The sequence below is a fragment of the Homo sapiens genome, chromosome 1, assembly GCF_000001405.40.
Source record: "Homo sapiens chromosome 1, GRCh38.p14 Primary Assembly".
In the NCBI taxonomy this organism is placed as follows: domain Eukaryota; kingdom Metazoa; phylum Chordata; class Mammalia; order Primates; family Hominidae; genus Homo; species Homo sapiens.
Genome location: NC_000001.11, coordinates 111,622,613 through 111,645,262, shown reverse-complemented (window position 1 = coordinate 111,645,262; position 22,650 = coordinate 111,622,613). Strand labels below are relative to the sequence as shown.

The 22,650-nt window shown below is 35.5% G+C and overlaps 1 protein-coding gene across 6 annotated transcripts in view; it reads right to left on the bottom strand.

The window, feature by feature from the left end:
* The window catches only part of RAP1A (RAP1A, member of RAS oncogene family), a 174,683-nt gene that overhangs the window by 71,429 nt on the left and 80,604 nt on the right, over positions 1 to 22,650 (bottom strand). For 2 of the 6 annotated variants that reach the window (NM_001394066.1, NM_001010935.3), the window contains exon 2: positions 17,700 to 17,793. The exons of the other annotated variants lie outside the window; for them this stretch is intronic. The gene's annotated coding sequence lies outside the window, so the exon portion shown is untranslated. The remainder of the gene's footprint in view (positions 1 to 17,699; positions 17,794 to 22,650) is intronic. 6 annotated transcript variants of the gene reach the window in all.

Below are 22,650 nucleotides of genomic sequence, written 5' to 3'. Positions count from 1 at the left end.
CCTGCCCTATATATTTCCCCTGCAATTCCTACAAGCTAAAAACCTATAAGTCATACTTGACTGTACTCCCCATATATAATCAACAGTCGAGCTAGTTCTGCATATTGTTTCCTAAATAATTCTTTAAATTGCAAATTATTTTTATCCCTATTTCCACACTGTGTTAATAAGACCCTCATCATCTCTTAACCAAATTCCTCCAAGAGAAATCAAAGAGATTAAGGAGAATCAGCAGTGCAAATATCAGAAGCTGAGAGAGATATAATATTCTGATTGTTTTTCAGGTTGAGACTAGCTCCTTTTCCCACCAACTATGGATATACTTCAAGAGGTAAAACAAACTCTTGAAATGTTATACAAAACAAAACAAAAACAAATCTTTTTTAAAGCATAAGCATAATCTTCTAGGAGAGAAGAGGGCCCAATATGTGGCCCCAAAATTTCAAAATTTCAAAGAGATCTATGACCCTCCCCCTTCCCCAAAAAAAGTTTCATTATTCTAGAGAATAAGGCCCAAGCTCATTATCAGGCCTTGTAACATTCTACATAATCTGGCTCTGATCCATGTTAGTTTTACCAGCTGACCATCTATGTGAGATATCAAGAGTTGGCGAAGTGGATATCTTTTATTTGTGCATGTCTAGTATTCCTCCTTCTTTTGGTAACAGCCTTGTGACACTTTATTGGGAAACAATCCTTGTCTTCCTGAATGCAGTTGTGGTGAGAATGTCAATCAAGGTGTACCCACCTTTCACTGGGCAAGGGAGACATGTGACCTAAACTCAGCCTACACCAATCAGGCTGAGTTTCCCGGGAAGCTGAATCTTAGAGTGATGTGAGGAAGCAAAATGGCTAGAGCTGATTTTTTATGACTGTGGTACACTGAAGGCATTGTTCCTTACTATTACCTAGGTCCCTACCCCTGCAAACTGCTCTGGTTCTTCTTGGGACTTCTTGAGGCCTAAGTGCTCACTTTTTACTTAAATTCTGTTATTCAACATCCTCCAAATAAACATTTTTCTGCTTAAATTAACCATTTTAGCCATTTGTTCTTCCTTTTATTGGACAAATATATATTGAACCATGTAACGGTTAGTTGGACATGTCAACTTGGCTAGACTATAGTACCCAGTTATTCAAACAGATGGAAGTGTTGCCATGAAGGTATTATCTAAATGTGGTTAACATCCACAATCAGCTGACTTTAAGGAGATTATCGTCAATAATGTGAGTAGGCCTCATCCAATCAGTTGAAAAGCCTTAAGAGCAAAACTCAGGTTTCGCTGAAGAAGAAATTCTACTGAAAGACTGCATTATCAGCTTCAGCTACAGAATCTGCAATGTGTTGGCCTGCCATATAGATTTTGGACTTTCCAGCCCCCACAATCACATAAGCCAATTCCTTGAAATAAGTATCTTTATTTACATAATGTATGCATGTGTGTGTATGGTATGTGAATGTGTGTATGGTCTTATAGGTTCTGTAGGTATCTGCCCAGTTCTCTGAGAGAAGACCTACTACACACCAGTGCTGATGATAAGCACGGATTGTCATTTGCTTGCTGCTATGACTCTGAAATAAAGGACTCAGTTTCATGTACATCCACAAGGCATTTAAGTTAAATTCTGTACCAAAGAATAAAATCTCCAATGAACCATGATGGTTCTGTTGCTTGCAACCAAAGAACCCTAAATACAGTTATATATGTCATTGTTTGAGGAGGAGAGAGTTCACAAAGTTTCACTGTTTCAAATAGTGCTAATAAACAGCTTAAGCTCAAAGCTGTGAGTAGAATTTTAAAGTTCTAAACTTGATGCCAAAAAATTAACTTTCTAGAGTATCCCAATGTACAGAGAAATTTAAAAATGAAGGAATGTCCAAGAAAGAAAAGACGTCTAAAATAGTTATCAGAATGTGCAGGTTTGTTTACCTTACTTCAGGGGCCAGCACACTATGAACCACAGGCCAAATCTGGGCCACTGTCTGTTTTTGCGTGGCTTGTGAACTAAGGACTGTTTCTATATTTAAGGACACCTTCAGTGTTCATAAATAAAGGAGACACAATCACTCTCATTTGCTTATGTAAATGGCTTTCACCCTATAACAGCAGAGTTGAATATCTGCAACAGGGACCATATGGCCCCAAAATCCTAAAGTACTTACTATCTGGCCCCTTACAAAAAAAATTAGCTGGCCGGGCGCAGTGGCTCACGCCTGTAATCCCAGCACTTTGGGAGGCTGAGGTGGGCAGATCACAAGATCAGGAGTTTGAGACCAGCCTGACCAACACGGTGAAACCCCATCTCTACTAATAATAACAAAAAATTAGCCGGGTGTGGTGGCGCACACCTGTAGTCCCAGCTACCCGGGAGGCTGAGGCAGGAGAATCACCTGAACCCAGGAGTGAGCCAAGATCACACTACACTCCAGCCTGGGCGACACAGCGAGACTTTGCCTCAAAAAAAAAAAAAAAAAGGCTGGGCACGGCGGCTCACGCCTGTAATCCCAGCTCCTTGGGAGGCCAAGGCGGGTGGATCACGAGGTCAGGAGATCGAAACCATCCTGGCTAACATGGTGAAACCCTGTCTCTGCTAAAAATACAAAAAACTAGCCGCGCGTGGTGGCAGGCGCCTGTAGTCCCAGCTACTCAGGAGGCTGACGCAGGAGAATGGCGTGAACCTAGGAAGCGGAGCTTGCAGTGAGCTAAGATAGTGCCACTGAACTCTAGCCTGGGAGACAGTGAGACACCGTCTCAAAAAAAAAAAAAAAGTTAACACCTACTCTAGTTTATCAGAAGACGCATTAACTTCAGGAGGAATAAGCAAGAAAGGGGTAAGAAATGTTAGAAAATAGACTACAAGAAAGGAATAAACTAATTAACTGTTATTTATTGTACATTTACCATGCATAAAATACTGTTTGAGCACTTTACATCTACTAGTATTTTTAATCCTCACATTTCTGTGGGGTGGGGATTATTGTCCCTTTATTTTAATTTAATTTAATTTAATTTTTTGAGATGGAGTTTCCCTCTTATTGCCCAGGCTGGAGTGCAATGGCTTGATCTCGGCTCACTGCAACCTCCGCCTCCCGGGTTCACGTGATTCTCCTGCCTCAACCTCCCAAGTAGCTGGGATTACAGGCATGCACCACCACACCCGGCTAACTGTTGTATTTTTAGTAGAGACAGGGTTTCTTCATGTTGGTTAGGCTGGTCTCAAACTACCAACCTCAGGTGATCCGCCCACCTTGGCCTCCCAAAGTGCTGGGATTATAGGTTTGAGCCACTGTGCCCAGCCTACTGTCCCCATTTTATAGACGAGGCAAAAAGGCTAAAACTAACTTGTCCAAGCTCAACATACATAAATTATGGAGCCAGGATTAAAACTCTGGCACTGTGGCTCTAGCATCAGTGTGGTTAACTACAATACTATATTGCCTTACCAGTCATCTTCTTGTCTATCTAATCTGTACTATGCAAATATTATTTTTCTTTAGAATTAAAGTATACAAACACTATGGATGAACCAATACTAGAATAAATTAGAAATCTGTGGTGGTACATTTCTTAGAGAATTTAAAGGATTACAAAGACCTATGTGCATGCGCGCGCACACACACACACACGCACACACCCCTTCCTTCTAGAAGATAGAGAAACTGAGGAAGATGGCCCCTTGGATTCAACCATTGCTTTCCCGCAAACCATATTTGAACTCTGAAGCTGAGGCAAGCTTCCATATGCAGGCTAAGATAAAGAACGTTCTCCTCCCACATCCCCTGCATCATTATGACCAATTAATTAAGAATCTGGAAGGTGGAGCCAGAATGTGGATATTTCTCAAAGCTCCCAGTTAAATCTAATGTATAGCCAAGCCAGCGTTGCAATCCACCACACTATACGTTCTCTCCTCTCAAGGAGAAGAGTGGTAAGAACAGAATAAGAGTGAAGGGAGGAGCAAGCAGAAAGATGAGAGAAACTTGACAAAACTTATCTCTGAAGAATGGAATTTTTATTTGCTAACATGCTAATATAGAACTAGTCTTCTTGTCTCATTGCTACACCTGAAGACTTAAAAACAAAAGGAATTGTAAAAAGAAAACTAATTATTTCTATATATGCATATATGTACATATGCATGTTTTTACAGGAAACTTCTGTAAGGATACACAGCAAACTGATAACCATTATTTTTGTCTCATTTGCATTCTTTTCTTGATCTGTACTTTTCAGGGCATTACTTGTATTCCTTTTAAAATACATTACTTAACAAAAATAGTGGTGTTTTTTGTTTTTTTTGAGACAGGGTCTCACTGTCACCTAGGCTGGAGTGTAGTGGCACAATCATGGCTCACTGCAGCCTCAACCTCCCATGCTCAAGCGATCCTCCCACCTCAGCCTTCTGAGTATCTGGGATTATAGGTATGCACCACCACACCCTGCTAATTTTTTGTTTTAATTTTTGTAGAGACAGGGTCTCACTATGTTGCTCAGGCTGGTCTCAAACTCATGGGCTCAAGCTATCCTCCTACCTTGGCCTTCCAAAGTGCTGGGATTACAGGCGGGAGCCACCATGCCTGGTCAAAAATAGTGAATTATTAAAAAATCGTGTGTTAACTAAAAGGATGTTCAAGGATTACTTTATTATTACTTTGAATAGGAAAATAATTATAAAAAAGAGCTAGTAACAATTATTTAATACTTTCCTGAAAAACAGCTTACTTTTAAGTCACTACACAAAACATAAAAATCTCTCAACTTTTATGTACTGTGAAGATGTATACTCTAACAAATCTATTAAAGAATCCCTGCTATCAGATGGCTATTATTAATTAAAGTCTTACTGATACTAATTTATCACAATATTTAGTGAGGAAAAAATGTTTTAAATAATGAGAAATAATAAAATGAAAACATTTGAAGTTTTATAAAACACAAAATATCACATAGTTTTATAATCACTTATAATAGTCTCACATAATATTTAGTTAAAATCAAATATTGTCCTAAAAATAAGTTAAACATCCTCCTTACATGGACTATTCAGTTAAATGAATTTGAAGTTTTTATATGGCTTCAGTCTTCAAAAAACAAAGAAGTAGGCAAAGGTGGAGGGTAAGGCTTTATCTAAGCAATCACAGGCTTGGCCAAAGGTCTAAGTGATAATGAGTTAATGCTCAAGCATGGGTTGTCATTTGTTTGCAGCTGTGATTCTGAGATAAAGGACTCAGTTTTGTGTACATTCACAAAGCATTTAGGTTAAATTTTGCACCAAAGAATACAATCTCTAATCTAGTTAAATGGTAAACCTCGACACAAAATCACCATTGTGATGTTAATTTTCATAAACACACCATGCAAAAAGCATACCACTACCATGAGGGGAAAAAGTTGGCTTTTCACTTTGATAGACGCAGACCCACAATCCAAAGCAAGGTAAACCTCTGTAATAAGCTTAACCTGGCTGTGGTGACAATTCAACTCCAAGGGAGGCTAGTGTCAGACAACAGTCCTGTCTGAAATGCCTGGGTACTGACTACCATTTTTTATATTTATTTGATTAGTTTTCATCCTAGCGGTGAGTGCAGTACTCTCATGAGAGATTTTTCATTACAAAGGTAAACTAACTCTTCCAGAACACTAAAACCATTTGAGAATCTCACCTGACAGTATGTCCTAAGGAAAAAAAAAAAAGTTCATAATGTATTAGTTACTAATAGTATATAGTATCAGAATCAACATTTAAAAATTTTAACAATGCTGTGAGTGGCTACATTTAAAGAAAGAATAGTCTCAGAAAAAAATTAGCATTTTTAGAAACTAAACACATTTCTACTTTAAAAAGCAAAGTGTAATTCTTCTGCAATGTTTACTGTTTTCTCATAAAGAAACCTACATAAATCCAGCCAAAACACCAGACTCTTAAAAAATCGGATTCTAATTCAGAAAAGTGTTACCTACTATAACATCTATTCTGATATTTTGAGCTATATTAGATTAATAAACCTCAGGAAAATCTATGTATAACTCTGAAGGTATAAGTAGAGAACTACAGAAATAAGCAGAAACAACACAGTATGATGTACCTAAACTAAACACATTACCAGAAATGTAAAAAAGATAGTGTATCTCCTTTAAAAAGAATAAAACCTTGATAGCAGAAAGAGTCCAAAATACTTCAATCAATAAACCAAAGATTAAAAGGCATATTTGACAGAAATGTTATGGTTCCAAGTATTCCCAGAAAGCTCACAGCTCAATAGCTTGTTTGTTCACTATGCAACTTTGATGTGCCTTTAGAGTTCTGAATTACTGCCTGGACCTAAAAGTCCTCAAAAATCTGTATTATTCTAGACTACTTAAAATACATATACTTGTCTTAAAAAAAAAAAAGATAAAAACCAACACCTAGCCAAAATTCAACTGTGACTTATCTGCCTACTTATTAGAACATGTTATATTTCCTGATACAAAAGTAATTAACATCTGGTCCAATACCAGAGTAGGCAAATAAAGGAATGAAAAAAATAGAAAACACAGGGTACGGTGGCTCACACCTATAATCCCAGAACTTTGGGGGGCAAAGGTGGGTGAATGGCTTGAGCCCAAGAGTTCAAGACCATTCTGGGCAACACAGCAAAGCACTGTCTCTACAAAAAATACAAAAAGTTAGCCAGGCATGTTGGCATGCGCCTGTAGTCCCAGCTACTCAGGAGGCTAAGGTGGGGGAATCACCTGAGTGGATAAGCCGTGACCCTGCCACAGCACCCTAGCCCGGGGGTAGGATTAAGATTCTGTCTCAAAAACAAAAACAGAAAAGAAAGAAAGAAAGAAAAATAAACACAGAAAAAGACCAGCACATATAAAGTACTTTCAATTCATAAATGACCCAGAATTCTATTACAAATGGGAATTTATGCTGCAGAAATAAAAAACAAAGACATACGCAAAAACAAAACAAAATGGGAAAGAAAAGATCCTTCCGTAGAAGAATGGACAAATTACTATGTATCATACAGCTTACAAGAATGAGGTAGAATTATACATAGTGATATGGGATGACTAAAATCTCTCAGGCAAAATGCGTTAGGCAAAAAAGCAACTTGCTGTAGTTAAGGAACAATATATTTTTCTTTTTTAAGAGACAGAAACAGCTATATAAAATTATTTATATGTAGGTTTTATATAAATAATATATATAGTTATTTATGTTAGGATATATACAGGAAAAGGCTAGACAAAGATTGATTTTGATGGTGGCTGTCCTTGGGGAAATGGACTTTCACTTTCTAAGTCATATACACCAAAAAATATTAAAATGTACAGAATGAAGTAATTCTACTTTTTGGAATTTATCCTACAGAAATAATTAAGGATGCATGGAAAAATTCAACTATAATGATATTCATAGTAGAACTTTTATAATAAAAAATTGAAAACTATAGACAAATCATTTAAACAAATGATGGCAAATTCACATACTACTATACATCTATAGTATTTATCCATTAGAGATGGGGTACTGTTAAAAGATACTCATTTATCATGAAAATTCACAAAATATTAAGAAAAACAGGAGCATGAAGTATTATGTATCTGATTTCATTTTCATCAAAGAAAAGGCATATATGCATTGAACATCACTGAGAAAGATGTACACCAAAATGTTAACAAGTTGTAAGGTAAAATTAAAGGTGATTTTTCTTTTGGCTTATTGCATGCATTCTCAACAGGAGCAGTATCACCACCAATGGGGTGAAAATTGGCTCTTGAGGGGCAAAAAAATAATTCTTATTCTTTTAGTGCATAAAACACAGATATACATACAATACATAAACAAATATACAGTTATATCTGTGGCATTAAAATTTCATGAGGGGGACAATTAGAAAAATATCTAAAAAGGCTGAGAAATAATGTCTAATTGGTACTTTATTTTTTTCTACAGTGAACTTGGTATTACTTGAGTTTGACTTAAGTAATCTATGTACATTTAACTAATTGAAAAAGTAAAACAAAACATAACCATGGAAAGCTAAGATATATCATTAATTTTCATTATTAACTATAAAATGTACTTCTTTATTCCTATGGCTTTAAAAATATAATACAAACCATTTTTTAAAAATAACACTAAAATGAAAATATGGAGATAAATAAATTGAAAAAGCATCTCATCAGAATCATCTGAGGATCACAGGAGTAAAATACAGCACCCTAGCCCTATCACAGACCCATAAAATCAGTATTTCTGCAAGGTTATGAGGTATACCGGAGTAGCTTTTATTAAATGAAGCACACTTACATCATCACACCACTCCATGGAAATATGAAATCTAGACAGGAAATATATTTTAATTTGGCCTGAGAGATTTAAAAAATTATGTACTGAAGTAATAGAAATAATATAAGAGCCTAGAAATCTAGAAATTCCCAGTCAACTCACCCCTTTCCTTTAATGAATTCAAAGATTTACATTTCTTGGTTGGGAGCAGTGGCTCATGCCTGTAATCCCAGCACTTTGCGAGGCCAAGGCGGGTGGATCACCTGAGGTGGGGAGACTCAGCCTGACCAACATGGAGAAACCCTGTCTCTACTAAAAATACAAAATTAGCTGGGAGTGGTGGCGCATGCCTGTAATCCCAGCTACTCAGAAGGCTGAGGCAGGAAAATCCCTTGAACCTGGGAGGTGGAGGTTGCAGTGAGCCGAGATCACATCATTGCACTCCAGCCTGGGCAACAAGAACGAAACTCCGTCTCCAAAAAAAAAAAAAAAATTTACCTTTCTTCACAAACTACCAAACACACCTTATTGTTCATTATCTCCACTGGGCGCAAGACATTGTGAAGAACAGAAAAGAAATAAGCAACACTCATGAATTGAATTGCTACTAAAATAAACTTACTTTATTGCCATAGTGTTTGTTGTCTAAAATCAAGAGTTTATCTAAATCTGCAAAAACCAGTATTAACTACTGGCTTTCCCCGGGCACTAAATTCACAAAGAAACAGTTTTTAATTCTAGGATGAAAATTAAGTAGAGAACAAAAGTCACGTCACTGTTGGGTAATAAAAACTGGGATACTGTCAGCTATATTCAATTCTCTAGTTAACAGACTTGTTCAGCACATCAGCCTTGAATTCAAAATTTTGCCTATACCAGATTATAAATTTTTCATGCTAAATACTTTAGGTCTAAACTATTAAGTCGTGAATGCCAAAGATTTATTGTATACATAAACAATGAAACTACCTAAGTGAGGAACTAACCGTCCCACTTAATTAATGGGGAATACACAGGGTTGACCAAAATAGGGGATACATGGCATAAGATATTGTTCCAGTCCCTAGGGATCTTTTACCTCAGTTTCATGGAAACATCAATGCTGGCCAGGCACAGTGGCTCACACCTGTAATTCCAACACTTTGGGAGGCTGAGGTGGGGGGATCACCTGAGGTCAGAGGTCAGGAGTTCAAGACCAGCCTGGTCAACATGGTAAAACTCCATCTCTACTAAAAATAAAAAGATTAACTGGGTGTGGTGGCACAAGCCTATAACCCCAGCTACCTGGGAGGCTGAGGCATGAGAATTGCTTGAACCCTGCAGGCAGAGGTTGCAGTGAGCAGAGATTGCAGCCACTGAACTCCACCCTGGGCGACAGAGTGAGACACTGTTTCAGAAACAAAACAAAACACAAAGAAAACAAAGAAACATCAATCCCAACTTTGGGGTAATAACAGCAGCAATAATTTTAAGTGCTTCTTGTACCTCAGGCATGCTTATTTAATCCTCAAACAAGATATAGATATTGTTCTTTCTCCACTGACAGATGAGAAAACTGAGAAAAACTGGTAGGCACTACATGCAAACTTTTGCAAAGTGTTTTGCCTGCTGACCACAAATACAAATGACCAAATATTCAAAGCAAGATTTTGCATACCATTTATATAAATAAGTTTAAATCCTATAATTAAACACTTATCCATAAAACAGCATATGACGTAACTGAAGCAAATCTGAGTTAGAAGAATCAAAAGGTTTCCAAGGCAAGGTACAACAGTACAAAATCTTTCCTATTTCTCCCATCCCCATGCCCAGAAAATGGCAACTTAATTTTGCATCTGTTTTAGTTTTAAAGGAAAAATGTTTACCATAACATAAAATTCCATTTCAGAAATCCTATTTATTATTTGTAAAGCCTTTAACTCATTTTATCACCTAAGAATCTTTATCTTTAAAAGCTTTATTAAATTTAATTTCATACTCTATAATGAATTGATTTTAGAACTTTTAGTTTGATTATAAAATATATGAACAGGCCAGGCGTGGTGGCTCATGCCTGTAACCCTAGCACTTTGGGAGGCCGAGGCGGGTAGATCATGAAGTCAGCAGATCGAGACCATCCTGGCCAACATGGTGAAACCCCGTCTCTACTAAAAATACAAAAATTAGCTGGGCGTGGCGGTGCGTGCCTGTAATCCCAGCTACTCAGGAGGCTGAGGCAGAAGAATCGCTTGAACCCAGGAGGTGGAGGTTGCAGTGAGCCGAGATCACACCACTGCACTCCAGCCTGGCAACAGAGTGAGACTCCATCTCGAAAAAATAAATGAATAAAATAAATAAATAAATAAATACATACATACATACATATATATATATAAATGTAAAGTTCATAAAAGGCTTAACAAGGGAAATAAAATATATGACATATAATAATACATATAATATATAACATATAATAAAATATCTATAACCCATACATCAGAGATAATAATCTAGGTCTTTTGGTGTTTCCTTTTAGCCTATATTCTACATATGAATAGATATATATTTTAAAAATAAGTACTAAAATCATACTATGTAAACACTGGTAATCTGCATTTACCAATGTAACAATAGAGAACTTTTTAAAAATAGCACAGACAAATGCAATTTTATGATTGATTTTCTATAGAACACTTTGGCCTATATAACTAAAAAATATTTATTATATTGTGAAAATTAACCAGGGAGGGAAGAGATAGTTGGTCCTTCATATAAAGGGCACTCTCTCAAATATTTGAATGTTTTTAAAATCACCTTTAAATTTTACTGATTAAACAGCCAATTTCTTTGCACTATTAAAAAACTTCACATGTCCATCTTTGGTATACCAACACACAGAGGACACTGAACATGTGGTTATGGGAGTGTTGTTATAAATGCAAAAGATCAAAATTGACTACAGGCTCAGCCCAGAACACTAGAAGTTAAGCAGAGTCAGCTAAGAAAACCACAAAGCAATGATTCTTTATGTCCAATATTTAAGGCCTACTATATAGCTTATGTACCCATGTAGGCAGATGGCACTGAGTGGTGACACATCTCAAGTATGTTCTGTTGTGACAGCAGTCCACGTCTGAAGCCTAATGGGAATATTAGGATGAGTATATCATCTAAAACCCTCCAACCCATGGTTTCTACTGCAGATTTTGGTTGGTTCTTGAATTATAATGCTATCATATTCCAATGTAAAAGTTGTAACACTTGAGTGAAATACTAGTCAGAAGTTATTAAACAGTAATTTAAAATTCAAAGGGATGTTTTACAACTGAGGTTTGTCCTAGGTGTGAAACTCGGTATTTAAAAGACACAGAAACTTTTTAAGAGTATATACTATTTGACCAATTTCGAGATACTAAAGTCCCAGGCTTCTTACCAGTTGAACGAAAAAGAAACACTACCGAAATAACCTAATATATGAAAATCTAAACATGCAAATAAAGGTGTGTCTGATTATAAGATTCTCCCTCCCAAATCACTTGCCTATGGTTTTTCTTAAGTTAATCTGATATCCTTAAATAATCACACTAGTTTTTATAGATACACATCTATAGAGCAAATTGATACTTGCACTTTATATGCCAAACAATTTTCTGAAGCATAAAAACTTCATGCCAGGGGTTATGTATGTCATTACCAAATCAACTGTATGATTAGAATGGAGAACAGCAGGATGCAACAATAGGGCAGTCTAAAGCTGACATACAGAAATCCACCAGGAAAAATTAAAAACCAACACTTTGAGGATACCAAGAACCAAAATATCACATAAAGTTATCTTTTATAGACCTGTCATACCAAGTCTCAGACAACTAGAAACAAATTTTAAAATATGTTACCTCTTCACAACAACCCTCTTCATTCGATCTAGGTTTATTGTCCTTCCAACTCAAACCAACAAGACACCATACCTCATGAAGTAGTAATTATACTGCCACAAATGGTGACAGATTAATCATATTCTCTCTGAAGGTCCCTGCAGGCTGCAGTATCTTTTTTTTTTTTTTTTTTTTTTTGAGACCAAGTTTTGCTCTTGTTGCCCAGGCTGCAGTGCAATGGCACCATCCTGGCTCACCACAACCTCTGCCTCCCAGGTTCAAGGGATTCTCCTGCCTCAGCCTCCTGAGTAGCTGGGATTACAGGCATGCGCCACCGCGCCCAGCTAGTTTTTTTGTATTTTTTTTTTTAGTGAAGACGGGGTTTCTCCATGTTGGTCAGGGTGATCTCAAACTCCCGACCTCAGGTGATCCGCCCGCCTCGACCTCCCAAAGTGCTGGGATTACAGGCATGAGCCACCACACCTGGCCGTAGGCTCCAATATCTAATCCAAAGTATTCTACTCCTTCAACCATAATTTACCTCCTCCTAGCCCTCATTCCATCAATTTCATTTCTCTTTTTTGAGAAAATAAATTCCTTTTCCACAGTCTAGCACGTCAACTTCCATGTGTTATTCCCCTATGGTAAATTCTGTATCATAATTACGTTCCTTTCTCAACCTTACTCTGATTTCTTTCAATTTCTCAATTACTTATATTTACTTTCATCCTCTAGGTATCCATTCCTATGATATTCATTTAAAAGAATACTAAACTTAGAATTTATTAAGATATTAATTAATTTGAAGGATTAGAAACTTTATAAACACAGGGTTTAGAGATTTCATACTCCTATTCTGCCTGGGTGTAGGCATTAGTTTAAAAAAAAAAAAAAGCCCTCATTTATCCTACTAACCATTAAATGACCCAGAATTATGAGTTCATATTTCTGAGCAACAAATCACACACTTTGATATTCTAATAGAAGACAGAAACAAACACATGCCACCAACCCTGCCCCACTCCCCACAGACTGTGATAGATATTAGGCAGACAACTAACACTGGCTACATAAACATTTGGACTACTGTAATTCCATCACCTCATTTCAGAATACTAAATTCTTAAATGGTTACAAAAAAAATTAAGATATAAACAGAACCAAAAGATGTTATTGATAATGAACACTATGGTGCAAAGCAGACTTTTTTTTTTTAAAGCCAAAAACTCTACAAATTACTCAGTTAACAAAGCCCAAGAGAAAATTATACTTTGTAAGTGTTTGGTCTTTATTTCTCTCCTCAGGATTTTCACCGTATGATTTATGGAAAAAAAGACAGGTTAAGTCACTTTATTTCTGAAGAAATTTTCTAGACTCATTTAGGAGAAAAATGGTGTGACTCACTGAAAACAGTATAGGGACAGAGGCAGTCTCCTGTCATTTACTCATTCATTCATGTTTACATTTAAGCAAGATACAAATATGTATTGATCACCTATTTTCTGCTTTGTATTGCAAAAGTCCCTTCTTCTGGAAGTTTACTACCCACGTGATTCTCTATAATTAGAGCTGTGTAAATTTTCACAAATTACATAATTACTTTGAGTTTCATCACCTGTAAAAAAACTGGACAATAACAATATCTACTTTGTAGATTTACTGTGCAAATTAAATAGGATGTAAGGGGTCTACACTCAAAAACATATGAGTTCCCTTCTCCCTGTAGGTCCATTACAGATAGGACATTAATCAATGGCTCCCAACCTTTCTATAAAAAAACTTTATTCTATTCCATGGATTTCACGTGTTTAAAGATCTTTGTCTACCAACTGCAATGACATCTTATTAATCACATAAGTAAAAGCTAATCAAAATTCTCAAATTGCCAAAGACTTAAAAACTAACAAAACCCAGTGCTAGGATCTTGAAGGGATAAGTACAATATTTTATTTCCTTAACAATCTGCAAATCGCTACAATGTATGATAATGATTTGAGTCAATATAATCACTGGTCAAAGAAAAGATACATAATATTTTATCTGTATAAGTCTATTTAGGGTAAATGCACAATTTTCATTTGACTTTTTGTAATACTAATCATAATTCCTTCCTATCTCTGCAGATCCCTGGGAAAAACATAATTTATGGACCAGGAATTAGTGATTCTGTATGTCTAGAAAAACTACTGGTTACCCTACAGATTTAAATGAGTATTATTAGTAACACCATCTTCAAATTCACAAGTTGCATATATTTACCCATAAAGAGAAATAATGATATCCAGTGAGCTGTTCCCTATCAACCTCATCTACCAGGCTTTTCCTAGCCTTGTGATGACAAGGGTCTTTTTGTTCTTCCTCAAACATGATGATCTGCTTCCCACTTTAGGGCCTTTGCACCAACGGGCCCTTTCTCTGCCTGGTTCATTCTTCTTATATACTGTTATATGTCTGGCATTTTGTAATTCAGGTGCCACATTAAATATCACCATCTCAGCGAGCTTTTCCACAACACTCAATTTAAAACCCTTTCATCATTCTCTATCATTTCATCTTGCTATAGTTTCTTCATGGCATTTGGGACCTCTGAAATTATCTTATTTACTTGTTTTTCTACTGTGTCTCTCTACTATCATCAACCCTTCAGTGGTATAAAAATTGCCATGAAAGCACGTCTTATTCACTGCTAAATCTGTGGTTCCTAGAATAGTATCAAGCACTCAATAATCACTCAATAAATACATGTTGGACGACTAACCAAACTGTTTATTATTACTGTAGGGAATGATTTCTTAGTCAAGAATTTATATTTAGCATTCAAAATTGCTGATTCAAAAGGAGTATGAAAAAATCTTCTGATAAAGAAAAATGTACATAATATTCTATTCAACCAGTACACTTCATTTTGTTTTATTTTAATCCTTTGGGATAGAAGCATATAAAAGTCTATTCACATTTCAGACATTTCGTATTTCACCTCATGTAAAAATTAAATGAACTATCTTATAACAGTATCCCATAAACTGCTAGCTACTTAATTTAATAATTTATTTTTTCTGTCAAGATGCAAGCAAGTTTCTAAAAATGTAAGACAACAGGCCATCATAGTGGCAATGCCAGAATGGCCCAAACTAAGGACTATGCTATTCTCTCAGCTATAGTTTAAGGAGTAGGAATGATGGGGAGAGAATGACTGTAGTTCAGATTCTGCTGGACAAACAGGCAGAAGTATCCTCAAACCTATTTAAAAGAGACTCTTATAGTTTGTAGACATTAAATCATCGTTTTGAATATCTGAGATCCCTTTAGCAAATGAAATTTCATTCAGTTGACCAGATCTGGGCTTTTGCAGATTCACACAGGAAAAACACAGTATTTGTAAAAAAAAGTCACACGCACACAATCCCCAACACTACGAGCACTGTGAGTTACATTTGCTTATTAATTTAAAAATATTTTCAAGGATAGTTTTAAAGGGAAGAGATTTGAATAAAAATAATAAGTACTTTATTTCTGAATTTAGGCAGTATTTGGAAACTAAAAGAAACATTAAGAAAGGTATGATAACTCACTGTTTTAAAAAATGCAAACACCTTATAAGTATCACAAGCCTGTATTTTTTTAAATTGGTGGTTGCTTCTTTTCTCCATTGGAAGATACCGAGCAGACAATTCACAGTTCATGTGAGTTTACTTATCAGTCAAAAAGAAATACTATTAATATCAATCTCTGGCTAACTTGCTTTATATTATTCAGTCAAGTGGAAAGTATGAGTAGAGCTCTAGTCAGGTTCTAGAATGACTAAAAATGGCATCTGCAAACTCTCTTTTTTTAATTAGGAAAATTCAGGGCTGAGAGAGAAAACAGGAACACTAAAAGTAATGTTTTTCTAAACATCATACACACAATTTCCCATTTTTTTGCTCCTATATTTTACTTAGAAGCTGCTTAACAAACAAGAAGTCTGTATTTCACTTCTCATCACCTCTGCTCACACGACTGGTTTTTTTAAAGTCCTGCAGCAATCACAAATGCTACAAAAACCACATGCAGAAGAATTTCACCTTACAGTGAAGAGTTTTAAGGTAATAGCTCCAGAAATACAAAGTCTAAAAGCGAGGATATCCTGTTAACCAAGAACTCAAAATGCTAACTAAATAAAATTACTGCAGGAGATTGTACATATATATTTTTAAAAGCATAAATATATGCTTTTTACTGACGAAATGATAGGAATCTTGGAATGTTTTATCCTTCAATTTTTAAAAAAACAATAGTAACAACCAAAGTGTACTGAGTCCCATCTTCTCTCAAAGGCTGCCTAACTGCATGTAAGCCTAGGCTGTTTCTTTTGAATTTGATCTCCAAATTGGTTGTACAGATCTTCACAAACATGAAGCCTAAGCACTTCCTCCAAAACCCTCCCTTTTGTTTTCCTTTAAACCCTCAGATCTTACCTTACCTGTGTTACTATTAATCCAGATTCCCTGTCTTCAACCTCTTCCTTCCTCAATTCATTCTTTACTCTACAAGCGAATTCATCTGCTTTTCGATGAATGCTTTTATCAAGTCATTTTCCACATACCAAAGCTTGTACTCCTGAAAAAGTCTACACTTATCAACGTAGCATTCAATGGCTTAAAAGTCTAGCCCCAATCTCCATAATTCTCCCTTATCTCCATATTTTCTAACTATACAAAAGCCTAGGCTTCTGTCAAATTAATCACCTGTCCTCCAACTTCTCCTGAACTTTCTTTCTATCTTGGCACATGCCATTCCTACCACAAAGAATGTCCACCATTCCCCTCCTGCTGCCACTGCTCACCACAGCCCATTTGCATTTCAGTATTTATTCATGTAAACAGAAACACAAAAATGAGATATTTCTTGCCCTTGAGGAGACTGGCAGAAAAAACAAATTTAACGAAAATAGCTAGTTTTTATTAAATACCTATGTGCCAAGTGGTCTTACACATTATTCTAATCCTCTCAACAATCCTATGGGGTAGATATTATTCTCCTTTTATAAAAATAAGGAAGCCAAGGTTCAGAAAAATCAAATCATACACATATTTAGCAGGTTGCCTCCAATCATGTACTTAGTAAGTGGCAAAGCAAGGACACAAACCCAGGCTGCCCAACTCCAGAGCTACTGCTCTAAACATTCACAGATTTTTTTTTTGTTTTTTCAAAGTCAGAACCATGTGACTACCCCCCTCATCTATCTGAAATAATTTAGTTTTACATAATATTTATATTTATTACATACTATAAAACAAGCTTTCTCATGTTTGTCATTTTAATAAAAGAACATTAAAATTCTAGCTCTCCAAAAAAAAAAATGCTGAAATTCCAACTTTAATCAGTAATTTTTTTTTTGGTCACAGATTACTTTTACCTAAAATATTTTTAAAGAAACTCATTTCAGGACAATTGCAAATTTCTTTCATACACTATGATGGTTTTACAGATTATTAATAATATGAGGATTTCTGCTATTACCACCCAAGAATGTAACAGATATCTATCACATTGGCAAAGATTGTAAAAACTGACCTACTCAATGCCATTGAAGGTGCAGTGAGACACATACTCTTATACACAGGGTAATCACCCTCTGATCCAGTTATCCCACTTCTGGGAATCTATCCTACAGGAAGAAAAAAAAAACAGAGATGCAATCAAAGATACATGTACAAAAAATGTCTGTCCCAGTGTTATTTAAAACAGTAATATTATAAAGAATCAACTTTAAAGTCTCAAACTAGGAGACCAACATCCCATTCAGGAAAAAAAAGTATGATCAAAACAGTATATATAAAGTTATAATTCTAAGTTTCGTAAAAAAAATAAATAAAAAATCCGTACATGCAAGGAATAAACTGGAAAAATGTATATTAAAGTATCAGTAGTAATTTTTTCTGGATGATAGGATCATGGATGTTTTCAATTTATTCTTTACACTTAACATTTTTTTCAAAATTTGCCACAGTATAACATGAATTACTTTAAACAGAAAAAAAAATGTTTAAGCAGTTATAACCACTGAAAAAGATCCTGAACCTAACAAGGGCATATTACTTGGAATAAGAAATACATTTCCTAGTGCAAAGAAAACGTCAGACTTGTTACCAGCTTCTATTATGCCCAGCAGCTTGTTTCCAGCTTCTATTATGCTCACCTTTACTTTTAGGTTGTGTAAAGAATGTCATCCAAAACTCAGTAGTACCTGTATTTATGAAACTGCACAAGGCTCACTATCTAAAAGTCAGCCAATGTTCCAAGAGAAAGAATCACAGTTAAATGGACTATTTTATTATATATGTCTACTGAGAATAATACAAGTCCAATTAATCCAAACTCAAAACATGCAAAAATGGAAAAACCAGAAAAATTGTTCTCATTTTGCAAACTAACTAAATATATTATTGTTGCCTTATAAACACATCATAATTAATTAGGTCGGGAGAGAAGAGGATCTTGAAAATAAAACTGTCAAGCTAACAACAGTCACTAAAAATGCACATTTACGCATGCTATTTGCACATTTCTGTCCTAGCAGATACTTGACTTTAGTGGCAAAGGATGATTTTAATCAGTGTAGAAAAAAATATTAACATCCCATTCTACAAAACAACTTCTGACGTTAAACAGAGAATTGAAATTGCTAGCTGAACCAGGAAACAACTTCCCTACAACGTGTGTATATACATGCATATGTGTGTGTGTGTGTGTGTGTGTGTGTGTGTATGTATACATATGCAGAAAAGCTATTTACAAAAAATAAGTCTTGGACTGAAGTAAAACAGGCAGTAAAGCAAACAATTCTTATTTAACTCTATTTTAAACAACTGGGAAACTGATTTGGTCTAATACTCATAAGCTGTTAGAAAACAAGACCACCAAAATAGCTGTTCACCAACTAAGAGAATGTGAAATGTTCACAATTTATTTTACTTAAAAAATGAGTATCATTCTATTTTCACTCTATCATGAAAATACAACACTGATTTATAAAACACATGACAGGCTGTGGCAAACAAAATAAACTGCTAGACTATAAATTCCTTTAAGCAGAAACTACACCTTCACATCTCAGTATCCATCAAAGAGCCTAATTTGGGGTTACTTAAACATCTGTTCAATGACTGAATCTGAAATCTATTAATGAAATTATGAATTAACTGTGGTGGCACACGCCTGTAGTCCCAGCTACTCAGGAGGCTGAAGTGGGAGGATAGCTTGAGCCCAGGAGGTGGAGAACAGCGTGGGTGATATAGCAAGACTCTGTGAAAGAAAAAGGAAGAAAAGGGAAATAGAAAAAGAAAAAGAAAAAAGAAGAGGAAGAGAAGAGAGAAAAAGGAAAAGAAATTATATGCAACCTTTTCACAAGCATAGGATGGAATTTAAAGGGTAGTTCCAAAGGTATCAATAGATTTGGCCTAGATTGTTAACTGTGTAAAACTGTAAGATTAGCATTAAATTTCAACTGCTACAATATTTAACTTAGTGCCTGCTTGCTTAATGTTTTATAATATAGCCAACTTGTCTAGAACAGAATGATCCTACTGATAAATGAATTTTAAAATATCACTGAAAATACAGTGAGTGAATTTACTCTCTGGATTACACATCTGACATATCTGAAATGTATAGTCAGCAATAAGAGATTTCCACTACTAACTTAGAGTCATATAAACTGCATTTGGGATATGTCCAAATAGTTGTATTCAGTTCTTTGTGCCTCTTTTTATAGTTTTGTCTTTTCTAAAGACAAAAACAAAACAAAAAAAAAAGAAAACAGTTAAAAAACGAAAGACAGCTAACCACAGTCCTATCATGAACAAAATTATCTTTTACCTCCAGAATAAGTGGGTACAGCACTGCACTGCAAAAAACCGTGAAGGAGTAACATGTTATAGGCGTATACACCTAGGTGTTCAAGGTAAGGCACTTCAAGTTTTAATTAACCCAATAGTATCTTTTATTAGCTTTTTTAGTTTAATATACTGCTATTCTTATGAAATATGGCCTAATTTAAATACATTCGGACACTAAAACATATGATTACACATTTAATTTTAAATTTGGTTAACTTTAACACTTTGAACCACTCTACCAGTGTAAACTAAATAGGTTAGAGGTAAGAAACACTGGGAAAATTTGAGTGATTTATAAAGAATTTTTTTTTCAGATTTATCTAACCTAAATTTATATAGCCTAAGTAAATAAGTCATTAGTGCTTTTAAAAAAGCCATTAACTTGTCTACTGATTGGAGTTTATTTCATAAAACATTTAATTTTCCATGCGTATATCAAGTATTTCTGAAAATTTTATTAAAAGAATTATTTTTAAACCACTTATAAACGCACGTTATTTCCTGTTTCAACTCTACCTTAATAACCATACACAATTTCCTTTTTTTATTGGTGCATGTGTATATGCATGTTTGTACCTTCTACCTCTAAAAGGCTTATTTTCAAGCAGAAATGACAGCATGGCATGGTTCTCTGTTGAACTGCTTTGTTGATCAGAACCTCATGATAATGAACAAAGCTAAGCTTATAGGTTCAATACTCATCTGGATCATTTAACTTTGAAACAAAGTGCCCTCTTAACCAGTCATCTCACAACTGTGTGCAGGAGACTGAGAGAATGTGAATTATGCAGTGCAAATCTATACCACTATTACAAAAGTTTCAAAATGTAAATGAGCTAATATTAACATTATCTTTGTATATGAAAAACTAAAAAGCACATAAAAACTACTGCTTGTAATCCCCATACTTCATGCACACAATAAAAGAAAAAATGGACACTTCATCTGTCTCAGTAACATACTAAAGCTTAAATATTTTTGTTTAATGCTAATCTTTTTCATAAGATATGAATCTGGCATTAAGTAATGCAGCAATTATATGACATCAGAATAAGCAAAAAATTCTTGGAAATAGGCCGTAACTCTTCTTACAAATGATTAGATGTAATCAATTAATTGTTATAACCAATTAATTTGAAAAGGGACATTATAAACGAGTAAACTTACATTCACAATTTCAAATGTATTCCAATATTAAAATATAAATGCTTTACATTAGTTATTTTCATTGACCAACTAAAATAAGAGAATTTTAGAATCACGAGATTAGAAGTGATCTGAGGTTCAATGAACATTTACGGTGTCCCTATCACATGTCAGAAACAGAGCAAGGTGCTTTCAAGTAACTCAAGTGATTCAACCCACTCCCTTGTGTAGATGTCAAAGCTCCCCACCTATGCCAAATCAAGCCATCTAGGTTCCAGAACCAGAAATTCTGGGCAAAGCCCTCACAGTGGTATAGTTTTCTATCAAAACTGGCTGGTGTCGTCATCCCCTATAAACCAAATAAAATTTCAATGTTGACCTATTTAACAAAAACAATAGTCTCAGCCGCAGGAGTCCAGCATTCTGGGAGGCTGAGGCGGGCGGATCATGAGGTCAGGAGTTCAAGACCAGCCTGACCAACATGGTGAAACTCTCTCTCTACTAAAAAAAAATACAAAAATTAGCCGGGTGTGGTGGCACGTGCCTGTAATCCCAGTTACTCAGGAGGCTAAGGCAGGAGAATCCCTTGAACCTCGGAGGCAGAGGTTGCAGTGAGCCAAGATCACATCACTGTACTCCAGCCTGGGTGACAGAGCAAGACTCTGTCTCAAAGAACAAAACATGGGGCGGTCACAGCTATAATATTCTAAAAGCATCATACAAAACAGAAATTAAACAAATTACAGATACCATTAAAAATTCCTTTGTTGCCAGCCACAGTAGCTCACACCTGTAATCCCAACACTTTTGGAGGCCAAGGTGGCTGGATCACTTGAGGTCAGGAGTTTGAGATCAGCCTGGCCAACATGGGGAAACCTCGTCTCTACTAACGATTAAAAAAAAAAAAAATTATCTGGGCGTGGTGGTGGGTACCTGTTATCCCAGCTACTGGGGAGGCTGAGACAGGAGAATCGCTTGAACCCAGGAGGCAGAGGTTGCAGTGAGCCAAGATTGCACCACTGCACACCAGGCTGGATGACAGAGCAAGACTCCGTCTCAAAAAAAATTTAATTTTTAAACATATCCCTTTGTAAGGAAAAAAAACAATTACCAACATGAAAATCTGGATGTCTAATCCCTATTTTATATAAAATATCATCAACCATACACTAAAGTTCATGGGTAAAACTAAACACTGGCAAGATCTGGAGTAACTTAACTATTACAATACAAACAATGACAGACTGTGAAACTCCCTGAGGGCAGAGACCCTGTCTAATTCATCTCTGTATCCAACAATTAGCATCCTGTAGTTAAATGTTGAAGAGAGGTAAGCTAACATCCAAAATTTAAATGTGAGCTATTGAAAAATTCAACTTAACAATCTGAAAGTTATCTTTTTATGACTGACATTATTTTTTAAATGTTAAACAATAATGTCCAATGCAAGTATACAAGCGACATTACCATGGAATGTTTGT